Source organism: Homo sapiens, chromosome 17, assembly GCF_000001405.40.
Source record: "Homo sapiens chromosome 17, GRCh38.p14 Primary Assembly".
Classification (NCBI taxonomy): Eukaryota; Metazoa; Chordata; class Mammalia; order Primates; family Hominidae; genus Homo; species Homo sapiens.
The window spans coordinates 58,117,819-58,130,959 of record NC_000017.11 but is presented as its reverse complement, the minus strand read 5'-3'; the positions used below and the strand labels follow the sequence as shown (position 1 = coordinate 58,130,959).

Here is a 13,141-nt window from a genome sequence, read left to right as displayed (position 1 = left end):
GTTTTTGTCATTGGTTCTGTTTATATGCTGGATTATGTTTATTGATTTGTGTATGTTGAACCAGCCTTGCATCCCAGGGATGAAGCCCACTTGATCATGGTGGATAAGCTTTTTGATGTGCTGCTGGATTCAGTTTGCCAGTATTTTATTGAGGATTTTTGCATCGATGTTCATCAGGGATATTGGTCTAAAATTCTCTTTTTTTGTTGTGTCTCTGCCAGGCTTTGGTATTAGGATGATGCTGGCCTCATAAAATGAGTTAGGGAGGATTCCCTCTTTTTCTATTGATTTGAATAGTTTCAGAAGGAATGGTACCAGCTCCTCCTTGTACCTCTGAGCATACACTTTATAATCCAGGAACCTGGAGAGCCTCCGTAAGGCTGGAGCACAGGGGAGCTGGTGGGAGCTGAGGGTACAGAGCAGGCAGGGAGAAGATTATGCAGAGCTTTGAGGAACTAGGTTAATAAATACAGATTTTATCTGTATTTATCATGTACATTACCTACACTTGAGTCTGTGACCCTGATATTACAAAAACTTTTCTGTACAAGACAGACTTGCAACATTCTCAAGGGTCTCCTGCTTTTGGTGTATCACATTCATTCCTGTAAGAGACATGAGGAACCAGGGGAGGACATTATGCAGGTGAAGGTCAGAAATCGAGGCTTTCTGACCCCTTCTCCAGTGTTTATCCCATCACTCTACAAATAATCTGTGAGTTCCTTCATGAGAACTCTTTTCAGCAGAATGAGTGGATGTCATTCTGATGAATGTGATCTGCCTACCTCGGCCTCCCAAAGTGCTGGGATTACAGGCGTGAGCTACTGCGCCCAGCCACCAAGTCACTTTTAAGAGCATTTTTGGTGGGGAGGGAATAAAGCTTGGTCCCATGTTGTATTAGTCAGATGAAGACCTCTATGGCAGCAAAGAAGAAGAAAGATGACAGACATCTCATTTGGACATCTCTATTGGACATAGGGGGAGCAGCCCATTTGCTTATTCATATCTCATCTTGTTTCAGAAAAGACCTAATGAGAACAGGTAAGGGCCTATAACTTTGTCTGTGTTTCCATCCAAGCTTCAGACTCTTTAAAGATCTGAAAGGATGAGAGAAGACAAGGGGAGAAATAGAAAACAAGACAGAATATTTAACTAAAAAGAAGAAGGAAGATTAAAAAAAATAATTAGGTAAATTCAGAGGATCAAAGCCAATGAGCCAGCTGTGACCCAGTGACTTGATGAGATCACAATACCAGTTCAGTGAATCTGTGATGCTCTTGTTTTTTTTCCCTCATGGTCCAAGATGGTTTCCGTGGCTTCGATCATCATATATGTCCTCATGCAATTTCATTCAATACTAGAAGTGAGGAAAGTAGTGTGGGCAGTGTCTTCCTTCATCTCTTGCCTTTAATCATGGAGAATAAATCTTTCCCCCAAACTCCCCAGTGGATGCCCCTATGTCTTACTGGTAATTACTGGATTTATCACATGACTACTACTAGCTGCTAAATGGTCTGGGAACATGAATACTTAGCTTTTTCAGGTAATTTAGCAGGAATCAGGCAAGGAAGAAGGAATTAGGCATGACTGCTGAGTAGACAACTTGCAATGTCCACCATGTTATGGTAAAGTACCTGACAACAGGAATGAATGTGATACGCCAAAAGCAGGAGACCCTTGAGAATGTTGCAAGTCTGTCTTGTACAGAAAAGTTTTTGTAATATCAGGGTCACAGACTCAAGTGTAGGTAATGTAAATGATAGAAGGACATAGGTGGGAACTTCCCTGACTAAAAGAAAACTGAATTTCATCTTCTTTCTTAATCCAGTGCAAAACTCTAGCATCTAACTTAAAGACAGGAAACCAATACTTTTCCCCCTCTGGAGAAACAGCAACCCCAGAAAAACAGGCCTCAATATATTGGCACTTTGGGGTCCTCCAGTGAATTGCCAATTTTCCACCTGCTCCCCTAAAGTGAAGTCCATCAGCATAAGAGCTCTGCCTATATATAGAAGTTCTAATCTAATTTTAGTGCCTTCCTCCTAAATGGATAAAGGCAACCAAAGATAACCAGGCATTTAAGAAAGGCTTTCAACATTAAAAAGCAAAAACAAAATAAATAGAAAAATGAATGAGAAGAAAACAAAAATGATACAGAGAATGTAAGAAACCTTTACAAAAAACCCTTTAGTTCATGTAATTAGTATCTTTAGAGAGAAGCAAGAAGATATAATACCTATAAATTAAGAATGGAATTATATTTAAAAACTAGAGAACAAAAAAAGAGCTTTTGGGAATTCAAATATGTTTACAGAAATTAAAACTTCAACAGAGGGATTGGAAAATCAAGTTGAGGAAATCTCTTCTGAATGTAGAATAAAAAATTAGGTAAGCAACTGAAGAAAATACATAAGAGGCTTAGAAATTATTTCAGTAGGAATTCCCAAAAGAATGGCAACTAAAAAGGTGAAAAAATTATCAAAGAAATAAAAGTCTCTCAGACTGAAAAACATCATCAGAAGAAATTTAATCCACACTAAGCACTTTTTCATAAAATTTCAAAACATTAAGAATAAAAACGAGGTCCTTAAAGTCTCCAGAGATAAGGAATAGGTCACCCACCCACAAAATAACAAGAAGCATAACAGCTTCAGATTAATCAAGAACAAACTGGATGCTAAAGGAAAATTAAGAAATACCTTCAGCCAGGCCTGGTGGTGTATGCCTGTAGTCCCAGCTGCTGGGGAGGCTAGGGTGGAAGGATCACTTAAGCCCATGAGTTTGAGGCTGCAGTGATCTATGATTACACCACTGCACTTCAGCCTGCATAACAGAGTGAGACCCTATCTAGAGAGAGAGAGAGAGAGAGAGAGAAAGAAGGAAAGAGAAAGAAAGAGAGAAAGAAAAGCAATAAAGAAAGAGAAAGGAAGGAAGGAAAGGAAAAGAAAGAAGAAAGAAAGAAAGAGAGAGAGAAAGAAAGAAAGAGAGAAAAAGAGAAAAATAAAAGAGTGAGGGAATAATATAACGACTCCCATTGACCTGTTTTTCAGATGGTTTCCTCAAATATCTAAAGATCCCTGGATAAACATTCATGTGTAAGATGCTGTGAGGATTGAAAAAAGCAAGGATGGTTACTCTCATTACTCCTATTCAACAACATACTGGAATTCTCAGCCAGTTAATTAAGGTAATAAAAAGAAATAAAAGGTGTATTAGTCCATTTTCATATTGCTGTGAAGAAATACCCAAGACTGGGTAATTTATAAAGAAAGAGAGGTTTAAAAGTCCACGCATAGTGGCTCATGCCTGTAATTGCGACATTTTGGGAGGCTGAGATGGGTGGATTATTTGAAGTCAGGAGTTCAAGACCAGCCGCGCCACCATGGTGAAACCCCGTCTCTACTAAAATTACAACAATTAGCCAGGTGTGGTGGCAAACACCTGTAATCCCAGCTACTCGGGAGGCTGAGGCAGGAGAATCTCTTGAACCCAGGAGGCGGAGGTTGCGGTGAACTGAGATCACGCCACTGCACTCCCGCCTGGGTGACAGAGTGATACTCCGTCTCAAACAAATAAATAAGTAAGTAAAAATTAAACTAAATAAATAAAAGTTTGGCCGGGCACGGTGGCTCACACCTATAATCCCAGCACTTTGGGAGGCCAAGGCGGGCAGATCACTTGAGGCCAGGAGTTCAAGACCAGTTCATAATGACAAGACTCTACTACAAGTACAAAAATTAGCTGAATGTGATGGCACACACCTGTACCTGTAATTCCAGCTACATGGGAGGCTGAGGCAGTAGAATTGCTTGAACTCGGGGGGCGGAAATGCAGTGAGCCGAGATCGCGCCACTGCACTCCAGCCTGGGTGACACAGTGAGACTATGTCTCAAAAAACAAACAAACAAACAAACACCCCCCCCACACATACTTAAAAATATTAAAATACTGACAATACCAAGTGCTTACTAGGATGAGAAGCAACTAGAACTCTGACATTGCTGGTGGGATTACAAAATGATATTGCCACTCTGGAAAACAGTTTGGCAGTCTTATAAAGTTAAATACACTTTATAATATGACAACAATTCTTAGGTATTTACCCTAGAAAACTTAAAAGCTTATATTCGCACCAAAACCTGTAAATAAATAGTTGTAATGGCTCCATTTATAATTTCCAAAACAACAATAAACAACTGGAAACAACCCCATGTCCTTCAGTGGTAAATAGATAAACCTAACATTCCTCAGTGAGAAAAAGCAATGAACTGTTGATACATGCAACCACTTAGATGAATCTCAAAGGCATTATTGAATGAAAGAAGTTAGTCCTAAAATGTTACATGCTGTATGATTCCATTGATATGACATTCTCAAAAAGACAAGCCTATAGTGATAGAGAACAGATGTGTGGTTGCCAAGACTTAGGGATGGGAAGGACAGTGTGATTACAAAGGGGTAGCATGAGGGAGTTTTCGGAGGTAATGAAACTCTTCTGTATCTTGTGGTGCTTACCTAAATCAACGTGTGTTAAAATTCATAAAACTGTGACCAGTCACGGTAGCTTACATCTGTAATCCTAGCACTTTGGGAGGCCAAGGCAGGAGGATTGCTGGAGTCCAGGAGTTTGAGACCAGCCTGGACAACATACTGAGACCCTGTCTCTACCAAAATTTAAAAAACTGTTTTCATTAGCCAGGTGTGGTGGCAGCCTCCCAGTGACTTGGGAGGCTGAGGTGGGATGATCGCTTGAGCCTGGGAGGTCAAGGCTGCAGTGAGCTGTGATCATTCTACTGCACTCCAGTGACAGAGCAAGACCTCATCTCAAAAAAAAAAAATTATAAAATTGTCTACAAAGTCAACTTTACTGAATGTTAATTCAAAATTAAAATGAAAACATAAAGCTGTAAAGGCAAAGATATTTTCAGATATGCCAGGTTTTAAAAATTTACCTCCCACACACCCTTTCTCCAAAAGCTACTGAAAGATGTGCTTTTGTGACGGCATGATGAAGAGAATAAAGAAGGAAAACACGGGATCCAGACGTGAGAATCAACACAAAAGGAAAATGATGGAAACTTCTTAGGCAGTGGTGAAGAGAAGTGCCAGGAAGATAACTGCTTCCAGGAAGACAATGTGTTTAAGAAGTAACCTGTCCAGTTTGTGGTAGGATGATGTACTGCTCCCAGAGGACTGATATCAAGAGAAAAGCAGAATTGATAGATCATTTGGGGTGTCTGAACAAAAATTCAAAGAAGATTTTCAGTTCTGGTGGAAAATTTCAGAATGAACTAGTGTATAGAAAACAACACAAACAAAAAAAGAGGCAATTATTAACTTCAGGAAGTAAAAAAGTTGGAATGTAATTATAGTACAGTTTATGACTCAACTATCAATATTAATTGCATTACCTTGATAATATAAACGCCGAACCAATGGCATACCAAAGATGGATGGTGAGAGCGGTCTGCCTCAAGCGCTGGCAATAAGAAGTGCATTACTGAGGGTAACTTTAAAACTATCACAAAACTAGAAGTCAGTGTGGTTTTCATTGTCACTGTGCACTAGCAATTCTAAATAGTGTCAATTATAAAATTCTTCTTTCCCCCCACTGAAAATTTTTTGTTTGTCTAATTTATAATTTATAAATAATTTCTGAAATTACTGTTGAGCTTTAACATTATATTTGCAAGCTTCAAATGAACACATTCTTATTATTTATCCTTTAATAAACATTTTATGTTTTACATGAAAGCTAATTGAGCAACTCCCAGTTGTACATTCCATCTTCAACACACACAGATTCAGCTACAGGCAATTGTTTGAGAGTAAACTTATAATAGTTCAGAATCATTGTTCAGGTTCATTTCTAGTGCAGTTTATGTCTCTACCCCTGTGGTACCACACATTCCTGCTTTTAAACAGTAGATTAAAAATAATTCAAGCACAGTATTGTAACGACAAAGAAACAGAACTTGAGTTACTTCATCTTGTCATTCTGTGCAAATCACTTGGAGTTTAAAAATAATGAAACAGTGCAAACAAAAAGGTACAATATAATATTTTTGGTTGGTAAATGCCAGTTTTTGTTCATATATGATATGCTTTACTTAATTTAAATAATTTTAAAAAAATTTTTTTGAGACGGAGTTTCGCTCTTGTTGCCCAGGCTGGAGTGCAATGGTGCCATCTCAGCTCACTGCAACCTCCGCCTCCCGGGTTCAAGCAACTCTCCTGCTTCGGCCTCCTGAGTAGCTGGAACCCGCTACCACAGGCACCCGCTACCACACCCAGCTGATTTTTGTATTTTTAGTAGAGATAGGATTTCGCCATGTTGGTCAGGCTGGTCTCGAATCCCTGACCTCAGGTGATCCACCTGCCTCGGCCTCCTAAAGTGCTGGAGGGGTGAGCCACTGTGCCTGGCCTAAAATTTATTCTTTTTTTTTAATTATTAGGTTTTTTTGTTTGTTTTTTTTTGTTTGGTTTGAGACGGAGTCTCGCTCTGGGAGTGCAGTGGTGGGATCTCGGCTCACTGCAACCTCCGCCTCCCGGGTTCACGCCATTCTCCTGCCTCAGCCTCCCGAGTAGCTGGGACTACAGGCGCCCGCCACCATGCCCAGCTAATTTTTTTATATTTTTAGTAGAGACGGGGTTTTACCACGTTAGCCAGGGTGATCTCTATCTCCTGACCTCATGATCCACCGGCCTCGGCCTCCCAAAGTGCTGAGATTACAAGCGTGAGCCACCGCGCCCGGCCATTAATTATTAGTTTTTAAAACTAAAGAATGAATCCAGAAAAATGTAATGTATAATTAGTGTTATTATTAGTACTTTCCTAAATGGTACCCTTTGGAGACATTTGTTTTATTTTTAAAGATCACTTAATAGTTATTGAACAATTACTAACCTAAAATATTAATATATCAGATTGTAACTAAAGACAAAAATTCTGTTACATAGATATAAGAATTCTTTGATAAATAGTTGTGCTTTTTGTCCTGCAGGAGCTTGGAAGAACTTGCGGTCATTTGTAATATTGTTGTGAAACCAGCAACTGATTCAGTTTGTAATTACTCTGAATTTTATAAAGAAACTTGAAGTGAGGTACCCATACTAACATGAAACAATATTAATCCAGTGGACTTCAGTAAGGAAAAAATGTAAAAAAGCAATGTATGGCTCTATCTTGAAATGTATAATACCTTCAACATTACATAAAGTTACTGAAAAAGCTAAAAAATTACAAGCTGGTGCATCCAAGGCACCTACACTAAAAAAGACGCAATATTAGGATGATTGCTTTTCCTTTTTTAGTACTGCAATATTCATTTTTTATTTTTTACTGTTATTAGTTATATGAAGTTCAATAAAAAAGGTTCACTGTTTCTTTTCCTTACTATTACATATTTGTTTTATTTCATGATTATTATATTTTTATCACCTCCTAGGTGATAAAAAATGATCCAGTACAGCTGTCACATATGTTGGCAGGCCTCTGCACTGGATCTTGATTTAATGAAAAGTGGTGATAATTATATGTGGAGGATGAGAGGATGCTGAGTGTATGTATATGTGTGTTAGGAGAGGTCTAGTAAATCATCGAAAAGCTCAGCTGCCATAGCAAGAAGTCACTGTTTGGGGGCTGTGAACATGACAACAAAGGAGATCGTTGTAAAAGGTAGGGATTACTCCCTCAGAGCTGTGAGGTTTGGATAAGTGAAAATAGGGAGCAGAGAAATGCAATTTTTCATTTAGGGCCAAGTGGTAAAACTTGACTTTTTAAACTATGTGCATGTCTTACTTTGAAAAGATGTCATTACAAAGCCAAAAGGACTTAAAAATGAAGAAGAGCCGGATGCGGTGGCTCACGCCTGTAATCCCAGCACTTTGGGAGGCCGAGGTGGGTGAATCACCTGAGGCCAGGAGTTCGAGACCAGCCTGACCAACATGGAGAAACCCCATCTCTACTAAAAAAAAAACACAAAATTAGCCAGGCTTGGTGGTGCATGTCTGTAATCCCAGCTACTTGGGAGGCTGAGGCAGGAGAATCGCTTGAACCTGGGAGATGGAGGTTGCAGTGAGCTGAGATTGCGCCATTGCACTCCAGCGTGGACAACAAGAGCGAAACTCTTGTCTCAAAAAAAAAAAAAAAATGAAGACAGTGCAAAAAGATTGGGAAGTCAGCTTTACACACTAATTATAAATGCTAGGAATTACAATTACAAAACAGAATATAAATAATATAAATCCCAACAAGAGAAAAATCAACATAAGCAACAAAATTGGGAGATTGGCAAAGGGAGGAGGGAGGAAGTGTAACTGTGCTAACCATCTCACCTTTTATAGCGGGGGATCAATCAATACTGTCTGAAATCGAAATGTGTGAGGTTTGAAAAATCAATGACTCCAACCTCTTTATGATTTTATGGTTTTTATAACCACTTGTCCTTACCCTTATAAGAATCCTTTTAGTAATTAATATCTCCTGGGGTGGAAACATTATTTAAATTATAGCCATTCCTTCAGATCTACTTCAATTTATTTTTCTTCTGTTGAATTTCATTAAAATTTCAGAAGCTTAATTTGCATTTTTGATAAAATGTAGTGATTAATTTTTACAAAATCATTTTTGTCTAACCTTATGTAAAACTTTCTCTTTCTATCCATTTATTCTTCTTGTTGTTTATAAGCACAGAAAGATATTTGAAATAATGTTTACCAGTTACTGTCTTCACCCATTCTAAAATACTGATTTTTTTTTTTTCACATATAAACAACTCTGAAATCTAGTGACCACACAATGGCTGACAGCCAGGTGGCAGCCATGAAGTAGTTGTCATTGCTGACATCTTCTGGTAAGATCAAGCAAGTTCCAGCATCAAAACTCCAAGCAGTGCCTTGGAAATAAAGTCCAGAGACAATAGCTGAGCACTCGTTTTTGTTTTTTTGTTTTTTTTTGAAACGGAGTTTCGCTCTTGTTGCCCAGGCTGGAGTGCAGTGGTGTGATCTCGGCTCACTGCAACCTCTGCCTCCCGGGTTCAAGTGATTCTCCTGCCTCAGCCTCCCGAGTAGCTGGGATTACAGGCGCCCACCACCACACCTGGGTAATTTGTTGTATTTTTAGTAGAGACAGGGTTTCACAGTGTTAGCCAGGATGGTATTGATCTCCTGACCTCATGATCCGCCCGCCTTGGCCTCCCAAGGCCTAGGATTGCAGGCGTGAAGCTGAGCACTCTTTTAAGAAATGCTGCATCATTGATACTCTTGATGCACAAAGGATATTGTATTCACACACACACACACACACACACACACACACAAACACACACACACACACAACGACTGAGCCAAAAGGTGATTCAGAAGAGTTGAACGCTAAATGTGAAGGTGTTTTAGAAATATATTGGACCAATTTATTTCTTATATTTTTTGTTTATGTTTGTATATGAGTAACATGCTATAAAATATATATTTATACAAGTTTAAAACAGTTCTTTTAATAAAAACTCTAGATTATGTAAAGCATTTTGTTATGGTTTAATTGGTAGGTTTTTTTTAGTGATACAAAAAATGATTTGAAGTATAATCAAAACCTAGATTTGATGAACTATCATATTTTTTTTCTGAGGTGGAGTCTCGCTCTGTTGCCCAGGTTAGAGTGCAGTGGCACGATCTCAGCTCACTGCAACCTCTGCCTCCTGGGTTCAAGAGATTCTCCTGCCTCAGCCTCCTGAGTAGCTGGGATTACAGGCGTGCGCCACCACGCCCAGCTAATTTTTGTATTTTTAGTAAAGACAGAGTTTCTCCATGTTGGTCAGGCTGGTCTCGAACTCCTGACCTTGTGATCCGCCTGCCTCAGCCTCCCAAAATGCTGGGATTACAGGCGTGAGCCACCACGCCCGGCCTGAACTATCATATTTCAGAGTGACAGAACTGGGTGGTTTGTTTCTTCTTTAAACTTTTCCATATGGCTTAATTTTATAATGAATATGTTATGAGGAATATTACATATAGTGTATATTATCATTACATATAAAATATATACAATGTATTATATATGACATAAAATATGTAATTTATATATTATACATATTATATAATGAGTATGTAATAAATATGTAAAATTCTCCATATGGCTTAATTTTATTATGAACTCTTTGATATAATAACTAGTATTTCACTTGAGCCATCTTGATATTGCCGTCCCAATATTGTTCATAGTCACCTTTGCTTAGCCTCATGCAGAAATTTCTCCCTATTCTTCAGCTTTACAGTGTCTTGGCCGTGTTCTAGGTCTAGGGTGGTTTCCTTCATGGTGGAAGTGAATACATATTAATATTTCAAAGCCAAAGAACTCCCTGACACTCTCTTGGGGCTGTGCCTTTCTAAGAGCCTCTGTGTATTCTCTTCCCACCCGCATATCCTATATTCCTCTACCTTCTTCTTCCTTACCTGTTTCAGGATTTTTGAAAGATGCTGGACACAAGTCACCAATGTTCTTGTGCTAGAAGAAGAATTCGTGTCCTAAAGAGCAATGGTGGTGTTTCAGGACCATGGACAGTAGCACATGGCTACAGACACCTAAAAAAGCTCCCAACGCTCACCTCACCCTGCAAGTTCCTCCAGAAGGGCCCGTCAAGGCTGGCAGTGGACACCTTGCAGGTTAAATCCATGGTCTTCCTCCAAGTCGGGCTTAGAAAACTCCTCCCCACAAAATATCACATAGTAGGCACTGAATAAATTTTTGTTCAATTAATTAACAAATTTATTACAGCAAAGGGTTGCACTTATGTGCTCAATTCACCCAACAAATATTTATTTAAGCCCCTATTGTGTGACATGCATGAACCTTTCAGACAGGATGTTTTGTGACTGAGGTCCCTGTTTCATGGTGTGTAGCTGGTGTCTTATGAGTATGACAGTAGGCGCTACATAGGGCTGCTTCCTGCCTGCATCTCTGGTAGAAAGTAAAGTCTAATACAATTTTTCCTGTTTTCTTCTGTTAAAATTCTGGACCACTTGTTTGTCCATCAACACTTCTTCTTCTCTTCTGATTTCTGTCACTCTCCCTAGAGTCTAAGACATCAGAGAATGCAAATAAGGTCTTTCTCCCTCGTCTTCATTCCCAGCCCTACAGCACCATCTCAGATTTTGTACTGTGCAACCAAATCTTTCCCCACTCCTACTCCCATTTCCATCACTCTCCCTAGAGCCTAAGACATCAGAGAATGCAAATAAGGTCTTTCTTCCCCTGTCTTCATTCCCAGCCCTACGGCACCTAACGTTTCAGATTTTGTACTGTGCAACCAAATCTTTTCCCACTCCTACTCCCACTCCCATCCCTATTCCTTAAACAAGTACAAATGTCTTAAAGGAAAAACACCTGCTTTTTGTCATTGTCTCTTCTGAAGTACCTAGCATAGAGCCTGGCTTGTAGTTGTGTGTCAGTAAATAAATGACTCAATCAATAAGAATAAAAGCCCCATGAGGATGGGGACTTTTGACTGTTTTATAATATGTTAGACATTCGATAAATATATGTTCAATTAACTGATTAATAAATTAACATATTTATCTGTGATAAATATCACAGAGAAAGGTTATGCTTATCTGCTCATTAATTCCACCAGCAAATATTTATTAAGCATCTATCATGTATCATACACTAAGATATATAACAGAAAAAAATCTTCGTCCTACTGGAACTTACATTCTAGTGGGGGAAATAGAAAAGAAACAAGTAAATACACAGAAAAACAGAATAATATAATTTGAGACAGTGCATAGTGATGTAAAGAAAATAAAGCAACAATGAACAGTGGTGGTTATTTCGGGTCACATGGTCAGGAAAGGCCTTTCTGAAGGATGGCATCTGGGCAGAGACTTGAATGTGGTGAAGGAAAGGCAAGGATCAGGGGAAGAGGGTCTCATGGAGAAAATCAAGTTTAAAGGCCCTGGGCTGGAATGAATGTTTGAGGAACACAAGAACCCAAGCTGTAGGGACTGAGAGTGGGGGAGGGTGATAAAAAATGAAGTCAGTGAAATCACGTTAATTATTTACATATTAATTTACAGATCAGCTCTGAACCACAAAAAACACACACACATCTCCACACACACAAAAATATAAAAGGGTAGTAGCCAGGCATGGTGGCTCGTGCCTGTAATCCCAGCACTTTGGGAAGCCAAGGTGGGTGGATCACAAGATCAGGAGTTCGAGACCACCCTGGCCAACATGGTGAAACCCCATCTCTACTAAAAATACAAAAATTAGCTGGGCGTGGTGGTGCACGGCTGTAATCCCAGCTACTCGGGAGGCTGAGGCAGGAGAATCACTGGAATCTGGGAGGCGGAGGTTGCAGTGATCCAAGTTCGTGCCACTGCACTCCAGCTTGGGTGACAGAGTGAAACTTCATCTAAAAAAAAAAAAGGTACATAGTAAAGTATCCCTCCCATCCATGTCACCCTGCCACCTAGTTCCCTTCCTGATAGGCAACTAATGTCATTGGTTTCTTGTGTGTCCTGTGCATATATAAACAAACACATACATTTATATATTAATCACCCTCTTTTATAGAAATAGTAATATACTGTACACTGTTCTATACTGTGTTCTTTCTCTTAACATATCTTGAAAATCTTCCTAAATACTTTGTTTGCAACTGTGTGTATTGTGAGGATGTCCTGTAACTTGTTTAACCAATCCCCTACTGGTGGTAATTATATTTTTAATATTTTGCTATCATGAAAAACCTACCACAAGCCTTTATACCTAAGGCTAAGGCTTTGGAGTAAGATCAACCAGGGTTCAAATTCTGGTTTTTACTTAGAAGCTAAGTGACTTTGGGATGCTATGCAGGCTCTGTTCTCTGTTTCCTCAGCTGCAAAATGAGGATCCTAATACTATCATGACAGCCTTTTGGGGAGATGTATGTGAAGTGCTCAGCACAGTACCTAGCCCAAGAGTAATATTGTCCTAACAAAATTCGCCACATACTGAGTGCTGCTGTATACTGGGCTCCAAGCTGAGAATTCACATGTTATCTCGTTTCATCTTCACAAGCCTAAAAGGTAAGGACTACTATTTCCACATTTACCAAAGAGTAACTGAGAGGTTAACCAATATGCCTCTCAAGTCCTG

The 13,141-nt window shown here is 39.2% G+C and overlaps 1 annotated feature.

Annotated features, from left to right (window-relative positions):
* Positions 10,418–10,712: a silencer, noted in NCBI's record as "tiled region #5260; HepG2 Repressive non-DNase unmatched - State 9:DNaseU, and K562 Repressive DNase matched - State 9:DNaseU". NCBI's record gives its function as "represses a minimal TATA promoter and a strong SV40 promoter by Sharpr-MPRA in HepG2 and K562 cells {active_cell/tissue: HepG2 | K562}" and the evidence as "EXISTENCE:reporter gene assay evidence [ECO:0000049][PMID:27701403]".